At 44.7% G+C, this 15,309-nt stretch overlaps 1 protein-coding gene across 21 annotated transcripts in view; it reads left to right on the top strand.

The window, feature by feature from the left end:
- GON4L (gon-4 like) overlaps positions 1-15,309 on the top strand; it is a 114,320-nt gene that overhangs the window by 82,109 nt on the left and 16,902 nt on the right. For 10 of the 21 annotated variants that reach the window (XM_006711394.5, XM_006711393.4, XM_047423264.1 and 7 more), the window contains exons 16-23: positions 842-928; positions 2,150-2,321; positions 4,113-4,257; positions 6,106-6,256; positions 9,782-9,898; positions 10,614-12,323; positions 13,759-14,011; positions 14,949-15,133. In XM_006711394.5, the coding sequence (XP_006711457.1) occupies positions 842-928; positions 2,150-2,321; positions 4,113-4,257; positions 6,106-6,256; positions 9,782-9,898; positions 10,614-12,323; positions 13,759-14,011; positions 14,949-15,133 (2,820 nt within the window). Of the gene's footprint in view, positions 1-841; positions 929-2,149; positions 2,361-4,112; positions 4,258-6,105; positions 6,257-9,781; positions 9,899-10,613; positions 12,897-13,758; positions 14,012-14,948; positions 15,134-15,309 lie in introns of those variants that run through there. The other 11 variants (XM_047423299.1, XM_047423298.1, XM_047423297.1 and 8 more) reach the window with 6 other exon arrangements.

The following is a 15,309-nucleotide window of genomic DNA, read 5'->3' as shown; positions in this document are numbered from 1 at the left end:
AGGCGTGAGCCACTGCGCCCTGCTGTTAATACTGGATTATACCAAGGCCTAACTCTGAGGCCAGAAATTAACAGCTTTGTAAAAGTCAGAGATAGTTACCTTACCACCTCCTAAAACCATAGTATCTTCACATCATTAGGAGCTCGAGAAGTCATCATGTTCATGCCTTATGGCTCAAGGAAGAGAGCACACAAGGACACTAATGGTATTCAGAAATATAGATTTCAAAGAGTCCTTAGTAATCTATTCTGAAATTTAACAACCTTCACTGTGAGAAGTAGGTTTGTTTTTCCTTTTTCTAACCTCAGTCCCTCTGGATTGAGGTTAAGCTTCCTCTGGTTCTGTCATTTTGTTCAAGGGAACATGTCTGAGAGATTTATGCCAAGATCCTATGTTATTTTCATACTCCTTTCAGAAAGCAAAATATATGTGATAAAGTTGCAAACATCTTGGTTATTGTCTCTCTGGGGGCTGGGTTACGGTGGCTCACACCTGTAATCCCAGCACTTTGGGAGGCTGAGGTGGGAGGATTGCTTGAGCCAGGGAGTTCGAGAGCAACCTGAGCAACATAGTGAGACCCTGTCTCTGCAAAAAATAAAAATAAATTAGCCAGGCATGGTGCCATGCATCTGTGGTCCCAGCTACTCAGGAGGCTGAGGTGGGAGGATTGCTTGAGCACAGGAAGTTGAGAGGGCGTGGAGCCATGATTGCATCACTGCACATCAGCCTGAGTGACAGAGAGAGATCCTTTCTCCAAGAAGAAAAAAAAAAAAGATCTCTCTGGATTCCTGAAATGACAATGTGGTAACATGTCACTTCATCATTTTCTTTCCATCCCCAGCACGTTCAGCTCTTGACCCAAATCCACCTTCTTGCCACCTGCAACCCCAACCTCAATCCGGAGGCCACTACCACCAGGATATTTCTTGTAAGTTTCCAAATATCCATAACTCTAAAGACTAGAGTATGAAATTAGCTTGGCAGGTTATTTCTCAGTTATTCACTGATCATAATCTATATTTATTCTTCTCTCGGGTATTTTTGATTGTTTTGCCTGCTTTCTGTTAAGGCTTCCTGTGTTTGCTGAGAGAACGTAAGCCACTGATTCCCATGAAAGGACAAGGAGTGTATTCAATTTTCTTAATACTGTCTTTCTGATATTTTTATTGAATCCTCCTCATCTTTAGATCCAACCTAACTTCTTAGGTTTTTGGTACCACTGTTCGTTTTATAGATGTTGAGACTGGGCACGGTGGCTATGCCTGTAATCCCAGCACTTTGAGAAGCCAAAGCAGGCAGATTATATGACCCCAGTAGTTCCAGACTAGCTGGGGCAACATGCCGAAAGCCCGTCTCTACAAAATACAAAAATTAACCAGATGTGGTGGTGCGTACCTGTAGTCTCAGCTACTTGGGAGGCAGAGGTGGAAGGATAGCTTGAGCCTAGGAGGTGAGGGTTACAGTGAGCTGAGATCGCGCCACTGCACTCAAGCCTGGGCAGCAGAGTGAGACCCAGTCTCAAAATAAATAAATAAATAAAATAAAAGTAATAGTCCTAATTCTTGGCTGGGTGCGGTGACTTGTGCCTGTAATCTCAGCACTTTGGTAGGCTGAGGTGGCTGGATCACTTGAGGTCAGGAGTTCGAGAACAGCTTGACCAACATGGTGAAATCCAGTCTCTACTTAAAATACAAAAAATAGCCGGGCGTGGTAGCGGGCGCCTGTAATTAATCCCAGCTACTCGGGAGGTAGATGGAGAAGAATCGCTTGAGCCCAGGAAGTGGAGACTTCAGTGAGTCAAGATCGCACCACTACGCTCCAGCCTGGGCGACAGAGCGAAACTCCGTCTCGAAAAAAAAAAAAAAAATGAGTCCTCATTCTTCATAATCTTACTTCTAGTTCAGGAGCTAGACCATATATTCCTTAGTGTTTCTCACTAAGTCTAAAAGTAAAACAAGAATACAATCCCTGAATATCTGGGAACTCAGGCATAATCTTAACAGAGTAGTTTATTGTGAAAGACTTTATGATGATTTTTACCTGTTTTTATCCTGTAGTAGGAAGGTCAGCTTCTCATTTAGATTCTGAAGGCTACTGGTATTAATTGTCTGGAATTGTCTTAAATCTTTCTTGTGTCCTGTTTTCCCAGAAAGAGCTGGGAACCTTTGCTCAAAGCTCCATCGCCCTTCACCATCAGTACAACCCCAAGTTTCAGACCCTGTTCCAACCCTGTAACTTGATGGGAGCTATGCAGCTGATTGAAGACTTCAGCACACATGTCAGCATTGACTGCAGCCCTCATAAAACTGTCAAGAAGACTGGTAGGAGACAGATGTGTCAGCTTTAAGTTTTTACTTGCGGTGAGAGGTGGTGGGAATCTTATCCCATAGATAACTAAGGATACTTGCCTAGGAATGGAGGACACAGGACATTTGTAATTTCTTCCTTCTCTCTTTTATCCTCCCTTTGTACTCATTATCCAAGTTCTAGAATTACATGATAATCTCTGGGCCTGGGTAAAGTGTGGAGGCAGTGGACAGTATAGGAATATGGGAGGTAGAGATCTGAGGCTCAGTGCTAAGAATTGGACTACAGCAATATGAGGGGTAAGTATTAGGAGTCAGATCGAGATAAACTGGGGCCTGGTAAAGATGAAAGTCAGGTGGTAAAGTTTGGTCATGTTTAGCTTTTTACTGTCTTCATTAAGATCAACTAAGGCCAGGCGCGGTGGCTCACGCCTGTAATCCCAGTACTTTGGGAGGCCGAGGCACGGGGAACACAATGTCAGGAGATGGAGACCATCCTGGCGAACACAGTGAAACCCCGTCTCTACTAAAAATACAGAAATTAGCCAGGCATGGGGGCACGCGCCTGTAGTCCCAGCTACTCGGGAGGCTGAGGCAGGAGAATCGCTTGAACCCAGGAGGCAGAGTTTGCAGTGAGCCAAGATAGCATCATTGCACTCCAGCCTGGGCGACAGAGCGAGACTCAGTCTCAAAAAAAAAAAAAAAAAAATCAACTAACTTTATTTACCATACTGACTGCAGCATAAGTGATATCTCCATTCTGAATGAAATATTGACTTGCAAGTTAGGCATAAGTTAGAGATTATACATTTGCCATGTTCAGTATTTTAAAGAAATTTGCAAGTTTAGATTCTACCTTGCATTAGTTTAGTATTTTTTAGAAAATACTTGCTATTTACTTAAGCCAAATATTTGCTTCTGATTTGTTTCTTGATTTAGCAAATTAGTTGTGGTTTGTTCTGGATTTGGGTTTGTCTTTGGATTCTATTTTAAATCCCTGAGTCTTATCGTTAAGTTGAAAATAGTTGTATTTAAGTGTATTATATCATAGACACGGATCCCAAACTGCTTTAACAGCTATATTAAATGATATGAAATGGTAATGAAAACTTGATTTAACACCAAATTATAATAATATCTTACACATCTGTTGACCTGTTGCTTTCTTCTGGGGATATAAAAATAACACTTATGGAAGGAGAAATATGGATATAGTAGTTTTGTCTCTAGAAATGCAGAGGTGCCTGAAAGTGAGAGGCTGAGAGAGGGAGAGAGAAATGAATGAGACTGAATTGTCTCCTTCCTTTTATGGTTCTTTTGTTCCCAGCCTCAGGAGGAATCTGGGAGAACTTAAGTAAGAATCAAATAAAAGTAAAATTTGGAATACCAGATTTGTGAGGGAGATTAAAGAAGTTGGAATCTTATTCTGGAAGAAAGAAAGCATTGTTGAAGGTCTCTTATCCTTCAAGTATTTAAGGGGGGAAGGAGGTAAAACATTTTTGAGCATACGCTATTGTTAGCACCTTATTTTACTAGGTGCTTTTTAAGTGTTTGTTTTACTTAGTGAATAAAGTGTTCCACATAAGAAAGAATGAGTCAACTTTTATTGCCATTGAATGGGACTCCCTTTAGATATAATGTTAGCTTAAGAAAGACTGGAAACTTTTGGGGGGATGGTGGGCAGATGGGAGGGAATCAAGTTAGGTAAGGATAGCTCCTACCTAAATGCAAAAATGCATTCACAGGCTTTTATGAAGCCCTCTTTTGTCCTAGAAGTTGATTTATCCGAGATTTATTTTCTTATAGCGAATGAATTTCCCTGTTTGCCAAAGCAAGTGGCTTGGATTCTGGCCACAAGCAAGGTTTTCATGTATCCAGAGTTACTTCCAGTGTGTTCCCTGAAGGCAAAGAATCCCCAGGATAAGATCGTCTTCACCAAGGCTGAGGACAAGTAAGTGTTTACTCTGGGGGATCAAAACAGCAGAACATCCCAAGGAGAAGATGTAGTTCCTTTGAGGAGTTTAGGGGAAGTAAGACTTGTATAATAAGACACGGACACAAAAGACAAAAGGAAAAGCAATATAGATGAGCAGAGCCCTCTAGGACGTGCTTGTTCTAGCAGTGCCAAATACTGCTTTTTGGGAGATGTCACACACATTTTTAAAGCATTTTAGACCGGACATGGTGGCTCACACCTGTAATCCCAGCACTTTGAAAGGCCAAGGCAGGAGGTTCGCTTTTATTTTATTTTATGTTATTTATTTATTTATTTAGAGGCAGAATCTTACTGTGTCACCCAGGCAGTCACAGCTCACTGCAGCCTTGAACTCCTGACATCAAGCGATCCTTGCACCTCAGCCTCCACGGAGCAGCTGAGACCACAGGCGTGTGCCACCATACATGGCTAAATTTTTTTTTTTTTTTTTGTAGAGATGAGGGTCTCTCTGTGTTATCCAGGCATCTCTCAAACTCCTGGACTCAAGGCATCCTCCCACCTTGGCCTCCCAAAGTGCTGGGATTACAGGCATGAGCCACCACACCCACCAGATTATGAACATTTTTATGGCCCTTTGTGTGTATTGCCACACTGTTATCAGCACATATGTGTATATGTAACCACGATCATATATGTTGTTAGAGGGTAGTATTGGTGCCGGTTTAAGTTGTCTGACAGGGTACCTATTCATTTTGTATTAGTTTTATTAGAATTATTCTCCTTCCTTTCTATTCTCTTTGAACTTCCTTTGTATTGTTAGTATACAGCTCGTCATGATACAGCTCATCATGATCTCACGTTTATTAATGATTTATGCCTAGTTTCTTATGTTCCCACATAATTGTGAAGTATTTGATTTTTTTTTTTTAAACAGAGTTTCACTTTTGTCACCCAGGCTGGAGTGCAATGGTGCGATCTCGGCTCACTGCAACCTTCGCCCCCGGTTTCAAGTGATTCTCCTGACCAAGTAGCTGGCATTACAGGCACCTACCACTACACCTGGCTATTTTTTGTATTTTTAGTAGAGACGAGGTTTCACCATGTTGGCCAGGCTGGTCTCGAACTCCTGACTCAGGTGATCTGCCTGCTTCGGCATCCCAAAATGCTGGGATTACAGGCGTGAGCCATTGCGCCTGGCCTTATTCTTATTCATAATACTTAATCAGTACTCACTAAGTATCTGAAATTTTCTGTTGAGTAGTCACCAACTTGTACAAGAATTAGATTTACAAAAAGTAGATTGACCAGGCATGGTGGGCTTACAACTGTAATACCAGCACTTTGAGAGGCTGAGGCAGGAGGATCGCTTGAGGCCAGGAGTTTAAGATTAGCCCAGGCAACATAGTGAGAACTGGTCTCTACAAATAATGGAAGAAAAAAATTAGCCCGGCATGGTGGTGAACGTCTGTGGTCACAGATACTTGGGAGGATGAAGTACGGGAATCGCTTGAGCCCAGGCATTCAAGGCTGCAGTGCGCTGTAATCATGCCACCCGCTCTCCAACCCGGGCAACAGAGCAAGACCCTGTCTGAAAAAAAATGAAAAGGTAGATTGGGCCACACACCATGGCTCATGCCTGTAATCCCAGCACTTTGGGAGGCTGAGACTGGAGAATTGCTTCAGCCTAGGAAGTAGAGGTTGCAGTGAGCTGCGATGGTGCCACTGCACTCCAGCCTGGGTGACAGCGTGAGACCTTGTCTCAAGAAAAAAATGAAAGAGTAGATTGTAAAATGTGTTAGTCTGGGGAGACCCTTTAGAAGGAAGGACTGTGAAGTGAGATTTAGTGTTATTCTCCTTTCTCAGTTTGTTAGCTTTAGGACTGAAGCATTTTGAAGGAACTGAGTTTCCTAATCCTCTAATCAGCAAGTACCTTCTAACCTGCAAAACTGCCCACCAACTGACAGTGAGAATCAAGAACCTCAACATGAACAGAGCTCCTGACAACATCATTAAAGTGAGTGTTTCCTGCATGCGCCATCCGGGCACCTCACCAATATGTACCCATTCTTTTATCTTGTTATTCTCAAAGAAAAGAGGAACCTTCTTTTATCTAAAGCTAATTTCTCCCACTTTACACTAGATTAATTCCCCTATTGCCTTTTGGGCAATATTCCGCTGGCAGTATTCCACTTATTTGCTTTTTGTTGTTGTTGTTGTTAGACAGACTCTTGCTCTGTCACTCAGGCTTGAGTAGAGTGGCGCAATCTTGGCTCACTGCAGTCTTTACCTCCCAGGTTCAAGCGATTCTCCTGCCTCGGTGTCTCCTGCCTCAGCGTCCCAAGTAGCTTGGATTACAGGCATGCACCACCACACCTGGCTAATTTTTGTATTTTCAGTAGAGATGAGGTTTCACCATGTTGGCCAGGCTGGTCTTGAACCTCTGACCTCAAGTGATCCACCCGCCTTGGCCTCCCAAGGTGCTGGGATTACAGGCATGAGCCACCGCACCTGGTTTCTTCTTTTTTATTTAGATATTTATGTTGTGTTTTTAGAGACGGGTTCTTGCTCTATCATCCTGTTTGGAGTGCATTGGCTCAGTCATAGGTCACTGTAGCCTCAAACTCCTGGGTTCAAGTGATCCTTCCACTTTAGCCTTCCAAGTATCCTGGACTACAGGCGTGTTCCACCAAGGCTAGCTCATTATTTTATTTTGTGTGGAGATGCTGTGTCACTTTGTTGCCCAGACTGGTCTTGAAGTTTTGACATGTGTCAGTCCGCCTGCCTCAGCTTGGCCTCCCAAAGTGTTGGGATTACAGGCGTGAGCCACTATGCCCAGCCTTTTGTTTTGTTTTGTTTTTGTTTTTTTCTTGAGAAAGGGTCTTACTCTGCTACCCAGGCTGGAGTACAGTGGTACAGTCATAGCTCACTGTAAGCTCCAGCTACTGGGCTCAAGCATTCCTCCCACCTCAGCCTCCCAAGGAGCTGGGGATTATATGCATGAGCCACCATGCTTGCCTATTAATTTTTTTTTTTTTTTTTTTTTTTTTTTTTTTTTTTAAGAAATGGAGTGTCCCTATATTGCCCAGGCTGGTCTCGAATTTTTGGCCTTAGGCATTCTCCTGTCTCAGCCTCTAATTGCTACTTCCTGGTATATTGGATTTAGGCCTTATTTATTAACCATTAACCATAAGCCAAGGAAGCTGAGGATTTACCTGTCTCCTCACTCCCTTACTCCCACCACAAACATGCACATTTTCTGCTCTCCAATCTCCTCGCTAGTAATTATGTCACAATTTTGGTTAGGTTGTATTCAGGGTTTACACTATAAGATTTTAAGGACTGTATAAATACTCTTCACAGCTATGTTATTGTGATACCTTGCCTTTCCTGCTGAACATTTTGTTTTTCTTGGAGTAAATAATCGCATTTTTAGGGGGATGGGGCTGGACTTGATTTTATTATGTAATTATTCCCAGGTCAACAGTAAAGGTTACTTAAATTTTCTTAATCTCCTTTCAGCGTGTCTGGCCTTCTAGATATTCCGTCACTTTCATCTTGAAGGAATTGCTCCTTGAGCCCTCTGACACTATTCCACTCTAAGCGTGTTGCTCTCTGGGCTTGCTGCACTGATGTTTTGGGCTTTTTCCTCCCCATCATCCTGGGAATTCTTTTTGCCTCTTACTGTGTTGGATCTTCTTATTTCCTGAATTCTACATCTGTGTTTTTGTTTTACTTCCTTCCTTTAGTGAAACACATTCTAGTAGCATTTTTTATTTTAATTTTTTTCTAAATTTTTAAAAATTGAGGCCGTACACGGTGGCTCAGGCCTGTAATCCCAGGTCTTTGGGAGGCTGAGGCAGGCAGATGACCTGAGGCCAGGAGTTCAAGACCAGCCTGGGCAATATGGTGAAACCCCGTCTCTACTAAAAATACAAAAATTGACCAGGTATGGTGCCACTCACCTGTAATCCCAGCCACTCGGGAGGCTGAGGCACAAAACTCACTTGAACTAGGGAGACAGAGGTTCAGTAAGCGTGGATCACTCCCCTGCACTCCAGCCTGGGCGACAGAGGAGTCTCTGTCTCAAAGATCAAGAAGCAGAGAAACAAACAAAAAGTACAAAGATGTGCACAGAAAATGACACACAACTCAAACGTGAAGGAAAAAGATTTTTCTGCAGCAGAATACGGTTTATCAAGTGCCTTAGCACCACGGATGAAACTAGACAAATTCTAAGCCATATTATCATGAATTTTCAAAACATTGGAGCCAAAGGAAAAATCTTACATGCTATCAGAGGTTGGGAGAAACAGGTGTTACATGAATATTCAAGAGTTAAATGGGGCCGTGGCTCACGCCTATAATCCCAGCACTTTGGGAGGCCAAGGTGGGAGAATTACTTGAGCCCAGGAGTTCAAGACCAGCCTGGGCAAAAAAGTGAGACCTGTCTCAATTTTTTTTTTTTTTTTTGAGATGGAGTCTTGCTGTGTCATCCAGGCTGGAGTGCAGTGGTGTGATCTCGGCTCACTGCAAGCTCCGCCTCCCAGGTTCATGCCATTCTCCTGCCTGAGCCTCCTGAGTAGCTGGGACTACAGGCACCAGCCACCACGCCTGGCTAATTTTTTGTATTTTTTAGTAGAGACGGGGTTTCACCATGTTAGCCAGGATGGTCTCAATCTCCTGACCTCGTGATCTGCCCACCTCAACCTCCCAAAGTGCTGGGATTACAAGGTGAGCCACTGCGCCTGGCCTATTCTTTTTTTTTTTTTTTGAGACGGAGTCTCACTGTGTCACCCAGGCTGGAGTGCAGTGGCACTGTCTCTGATCTCAGCTCACCTCAACCTCCACCTCCCAGGTTCAAGCAATTCTCCTGCCTCAGCCCGCTGAGTAGCTGGGATTACAGGTGCGTGCCACCATGCCTGGCTAATTTTTGTATTTTTGTAGGAATAGGGGTTTTGCCATGTTGGCCAGTCTGGTCTTGAACTCCTGACCTTAGGTAATCTGCCCACCTCCGAAAGTGCTGGGATTATAGGCATGAACCACCACGCCCAACCTTCATTTACTCTTAAAATTGAACTTTCTCAGGCTCTTTTTTTCCCCCCTTCTCTTCTAATGCCTTTCACACCACCATTTGCTTAAAAGGAAGCTTTCATGTGTCCAAGGTATAGATTACGATGTTGTCTTTGCAGCTGTTGATCAAGAACAAATCTTACATAAGATTGCTCTGAGCATCTGCTTCCTTTTCTCTCTGTGACCTAAACTCTCCCCTTCCTGGCAACCAGAATGGAGATCATCAGTTAGAAAATATTGAATAATTGTGAAATATTTAAATAGAGATTAGTTTAATTTGAAATGTACAAGTATTCAGCATATGCTATTTATATATGTGCGTTCATGGATGTTTGTGTATGTGGTCTTGTGTGTGTGTGTGTGTGTGTGTGTGTGTTTCTCTTGATCCACCACCACCCCATTCACCAGCCTGACAGGGGACAGTGTTTCCAGAAGGAATGTAATTCATGCGCATTTTTTTCATGTTAAGTTTTATAAGAAGACCAAACAGCTGCCAGTCCTAGGAAAATGCTGTGAAGAGATCCAGCCACATCAGTGGAAGCCACCTATAGAGAGAGAAGAACACCGGCTCCCATTCTGGTTAAAGGTACAGCCCTCTTCCTCGAAGTCTGTAGGAGGCAGAAGGTCACTGAAAGTTCTGAGAGAATATCAAGGGCTTCCTTAATCGTCTAATGCTTTAGTTGTAGAACTAGGACTTTAGAAATCTTCCTGATTCACCTTTCTTCCCTTACTTTTCTGCCCTTCTCTGGGTGATTCTACAGCATTTTCAAAATAATAGGTAAAATAATAATTTGCTAAAGGAAATTCACAGAAGTTTCTAAAGTGTATAATTAGAATGTGGTCTTTGTAGATTTGATATGCAGAGAGACCCTTCTTGGAAAGATGCCTTGAGACTGTCTAAGGTCTCTAAAACCTAGAAAGCCCTATTGTTTTTCCCAAATTCTTTTTTTGTTGTTGTTTTGTTTTGTTTTTGAGACAGAGTCTTGCTCTGTCCACCCAGGCTAAGGTGCGATCTCGGCTTCTCGCAACCTCTGCCTCCCAGGTTCAAGTGATTCTCCTGCCTCCGCCTCCTGAGTAGCTGGGATTACAGGCACATGCCACCACACCCAACTAATTTTTGTATTTTTAGTAGAGACGGGGTTTCACCGTGTTGGTCAGGCTCATCCTGAACTCCTGACCTCAAGTGATCTGCCCACTTCAGCCTCCCAAAGTGCTGGGATTACAGGCGTGAGCCACTGTGCCAAGCCTCTTTTTCCCAAATTCTGACATATGCTGGATCAGAGTGTTCTTGTTTCCAATAGGCCAGTCTGCCATCCATCCAGGAAGAACTGCGGCACATGGCTGATGGTGCTAGAGAGGTAGGAAATATGACTGGAACCACTGAGATCAACTCAGATCGAAGCCTAGAAAAAGACAATTTGGAGTTGGGGAGTGAATCTCGGTACCCACTGCTATTGCCTAAGGGTGTAGTCCTGAAACTGAAGCCAGTTGCCACCCGTTTCCCCAGGAAGGCTTGGAGACAGAAGCGTTCATCAGTCCTGAAGCCCCTCCTTATCCAACCCAGCCCCTCTCTCCAGCCCAGCTTCAACCCTGGGAAAACACCAGCCCGATCAACTCATTCAGAAGCCCCTCCGAGCAAAATGGTGCTCCGGATTCCTCACCCAATACAGCCAGCCACTGTTTTACAGACAGTTCCAGGTGTCCCTCCACTGGGGGTCAGTGGAGGTGAGAGTTTTGAGTCTCCTGCAGCACTGCCTGCTGTGCCCCCTGAGGCCAGGACAAGCTTCCCTCTGTCTGAGTCCCAGACTTTGCTCTCTTCTGCCCCTGTGCCCAAGGTAATGCTGCCCTCCCTTGCCCCTTCTAAGTTTCGAAAGCCATATGTGAGACGGAGACCCTCAAAGAGAAGAGGAGTCAAGGCCTCTCCCTGTATGAAACCTGCCCCTGTTATCCACCACCCTGCATCTGTTATCTTCACTGTTCCTGCTACCACTGTGAAGATTGTGAGCCTTGGCGGTGGCTGTAACATGATCCAGCCTGTCAATGCGGCTGTGGCCCAGAGTCCCCAGACTATTCCCATCACTACCCTCTTGGTTAACCCTACTTCCTTCCCCTGTCCATTGAACCAGTCCCTTGTGGCCTCCTCTGTCTCACCCTTAATTGTTTCTGGCAATTCTGTGAATCTTCCTATACCATCCACCCCTGAAGATAAGGCCCACGTGAATGTGGACATTGCTTGTGCTGTGGCTGATGGGGAAAATGCCTTTCAGGGCCTAGAACCCAAATTAGAGCCCCAGGAACTATCTCCTCTCTCTGCTACTGTTTTCCCGAAAGTGGAACATAGCCCAGGGCCTCCACTAGCAGATGCAGAGTGCCAAGAAGGATTGTCAGAGAATAGTGCCTGTCGCTGGACCGTTGTGAAAACAGAGGAGGGGAGGCAAGCTCTGGAGCCGCTCCCTCAGGGCATCCAGGAGTCTCTAAACAACCCTACCCCTGGGGATTTAGAGGAAATTGTCAAGATGGAACCTGAAGAAGCTAGAGAGGAAATCAGTGGATCCCCTGAGCGTGATATTTGTGATGACATCAAAGTGGAACATGCTGTGGAATTGGACACTGGTGCCCCAAGCGAGGAGTTGAGCAGTGCTGGAGAAGTAACGAAACAGACAGTCTTACAGAAGGAAGAGGAGAGGAGTCAGCCAACTAAAACCCCTTCATCTTCTCAAGAGCCCCCTGATGAAGGAACCTCAGGGACAGATGTGAACAAAGGATCATCAAAGAATGCTTTGTCCTCAATGGATCCTGAAGTGAGGCTTAGTAGCCCCCCAGGGAAGCCAGAAGATTCATCCAGTGTTGATGGTCAGTCAGTGGGGACTCCAGTTGGGCCAGAAACTGGAGGAGAGAAGAATGGGCCAGAAGAAGAGGAAGAAGAGGACTTTGATGACCTCACCCAAGATGAGGAAGATGAAATGTCATCAGCTTCTGAGGAATCTGTGCTTTCTGTCCCAGAACTCCAGGTGAGAGCTGGAGAATATTCTCAAGTATTTCGTGGACTCAGTAATATGTATCACTTATTGATATGCCACCTGCTTGCTTGCTGCACTATGGATAGTCCTAAAATCATTTGTATTTGATTTGTGAATGCATTATGGGACATGATTGTGGAGTTGAGGTGAAATGAGATGGAAAGGATGAAATTTTACTTATTATATTAAACTCGTTTACACATTAAATTGAATCACCTGACCATACTTTAAATGCCTTAAAAAATAGTAATAGGCTGGGCTTGGTGGCTCACTCCTGTAGTCCCAGCACTTTGGGAGGCTGAGGTGGGTGGATCACAAGGCCAGGAGTTTCAGACTGGCCTGGCCGACGTGGTAAAACCCCATCTATATTAAAAATAACAAAAATTAGCCAGGCATGGTGGCGGACACCTGTAATCCCTGCTGCTTGGGAGGCAGAGGCAGGAGAATTGCTTGAGCCCGAGAGACAGAGGTTGCAGTGAGCCGAGATCACGTCATTGCTCTCCAGCCTGGGCAACAGAGCAAGGCTCTGTCTCAAAAAAAAAAAAAAAAAAAAAAAAAAAAAAATAGTAAATAACTGGGCACGGTGGCTCACGCCTATAAATCCCAGCACTTTGGGAGGCCAAGGCGGGCAGATCACCTGAGGTCGGGAGTTCAAAACCAGCCTGACCAACATGAAGAAACTCCATCCCTACTAAAAATACAAAATTAGCTGGGCGTAGTGGCACATGCCTGTAATCCCAGCTACTCAGGAAGTTGAGGCAGGAGAATTGCTTGAACCGGGGAGGCAGAGGTTGCGGTGAGCCACGATTGCACCATCTCACTCCAGCCTGAAAACTATCTTCAGGTTACAGAAGTTTGTAAAAGGGAACTTCTTCCCCTCTCCTGCTGTCAGGCCGAATGTCAGCTATCACTGGGATTTCTTTTTTTTGTCTTGTTTTGTGTGTGGTTTTTTCTGTGTTTTTTTTTTGTTTGTTTTTGTTTTTGTTTTGAGATGGAGTCTTACTCTGTCTCCCGGATTGGAGTGCAGTGGCATAATTTCAGCTCACTGCAACCTCCACCTCCCGGGTTCAAGCAATTCTCATGCCTCAACCTCCCAAGTAGCTGGGATTACAGGCATGTACCACCATGCCTGACTAATTTCTGTATTTTTAGTAGAGACGTGGTTTCATCATGTTGGCGAGGCTGGTCCTGAACTCCTGGCCTCAAGTGATCCACCCACCTCGGCCTCCCAAAGTGTCAGGATTACAGGCGTGAGCCACTGTACCTGGCCCATTGCTGGGATTTCATAACTCAAGGAATTCCCCTCAGGACAGCTGTAGTGGGCTCCCCATTGTTTAACTTCAGATTATCCTGATATAGCTTTGTGTTGTTTGCAATTCATGAGCCACTAAGAGCCATTATAAGTACTCTTTGGAGGGTTTTACAGGAAACAATGGAGAAACTGACTTGGCTGGCATCTGAAAGGCGCATGAGTCAGGAGGGTGAGTCTGAAGAAGAGAATTCTCAGGAGGAGAACTCTGAGCCAGAAGAAGAGGAGGAAGAAGAAGCAGAAGGAATGGAAAGCCTGCAGAAAGAGGATGAAATGACGGATGAAGCAGTTGGAGACTCTGCTGAGAAGCCTCCTACTTTTGCTTCACCTGAGACTGCTCCAGAAGTGGAGACCAGCAGAACTCCACCAGGTGAGCTAGGCAAACCTATACTGAAGGACCATTCTCACTTAACCTCATTGTCTAGAGGACAGTGTGCAGGGTGGGTAGCTTATAAACCAGGTGGAGGATTTCCAGAGGAAACCCTCTGGATCTCTTCTGCAACACCCCTCCCCCAAAACATGTTTAATGTGGTATCTTTGTGGAGAACAGATACTCAGAAATTTTTAATTCAATTCTCATCCGTTGCTAGATTTATATTAGCTTCGTTCACTTTCTTTCTTTTTTTTATTTTTTTATTTTTTTTTTGAGACGGAGTCTTGCTCTGTCGCCCAGGCTGGAGTGCAGTGGTGCGATCTTGGCTCACTGCAACCTCTGCCTCCCAGGTTCAAGCGATTCTCCTGCCTCACCCTCCTGAGTAGCTGGGATTACAGGCATCTGCCCCCACACCCAGCTAATTTTTGTATTTTTAGTAGAGATGGGGTTTTACCATGTTGGTCAGGCTGGTATCGAACTCCTAACCTTATGATCCACCCGCCTCGGCCTCCCAGAGTGCTGGGATTACAGGCGTGAGCCACTGTGCCTGGCAGTTCACTTTGTTAAACTGATTGTTACCTTATCTGTCATGTGTGGGGCTAAGACCCATGTTTATTTCAGAAAACACTGCTTGTTCCTCATCAAGACATAGTCTCTCAAAAGCACTACAGAAGCCACACTTGCTCTTTAGACTTCCTTTCTCAATATGAAGTAGCTGATTATCTTGTTGTCATCCCAATTAAGGCAGTTACACTGCAGACTCTGCGTAGAACTGACTTGACGGACTTAGTTCTCATACCATTTTCCCAAAAACCTTTTCCTTGAATTGCTCCATAATATTGAATAGGATTTGGCTGGGGTGGTGCATGTGGTGGAATGGGAAGAACACAGGTTGCAGGGACAGGGAAACAATCCTTTTCATGTGTGCTACAAGGAGAGAGCATCAAAGCTGCTGGAAAAGGCCGGAACAATCATCGAGCTCGCAACAAGCGGGGAAGTCGGGCTCGGGCCAGCAAGGACACCTCCAAGCTGCTGTTGCTGTATGATGAGGACATTCTCGAGCGAGATCCACTCAGGGAGCAGAAGGACTTGGCCTTTGCCCAAGCTTATCTGACCAGGGTAGGCAAATGCTGCTTCCTGTTATTGCCAGTCTCTATGAATGTGGCTGCTTCTTCAAGGGAGATGTTTTTCAACATAAAGTCTGTTTTTCAGGCTATGCAACAGGCTTCATATTCCTCTATCTTGGCTTTTCTGGCAAAAGATCTCTGTGACAGAACCACAAGGAGACATAGAAT

Source organism: Homo sapiens, chromosome 1, assembly GCF_000001405.40.
Source record: "Homo sapiens chromosome 1, GRCh38.p14 Primary Assembly".
In the NCBI taxonomy this organism is placed as follows: domain Eukaryota; kingdom Metazoa; phylum Chordata; class Mammalia; order Primates; family Hominidae; genus Homo; species Homo sapiens.
Note: the sequence above shows the minus strand (reverse complement) of the source record. Positions and strands in the feature narration are given on the sequence as shown.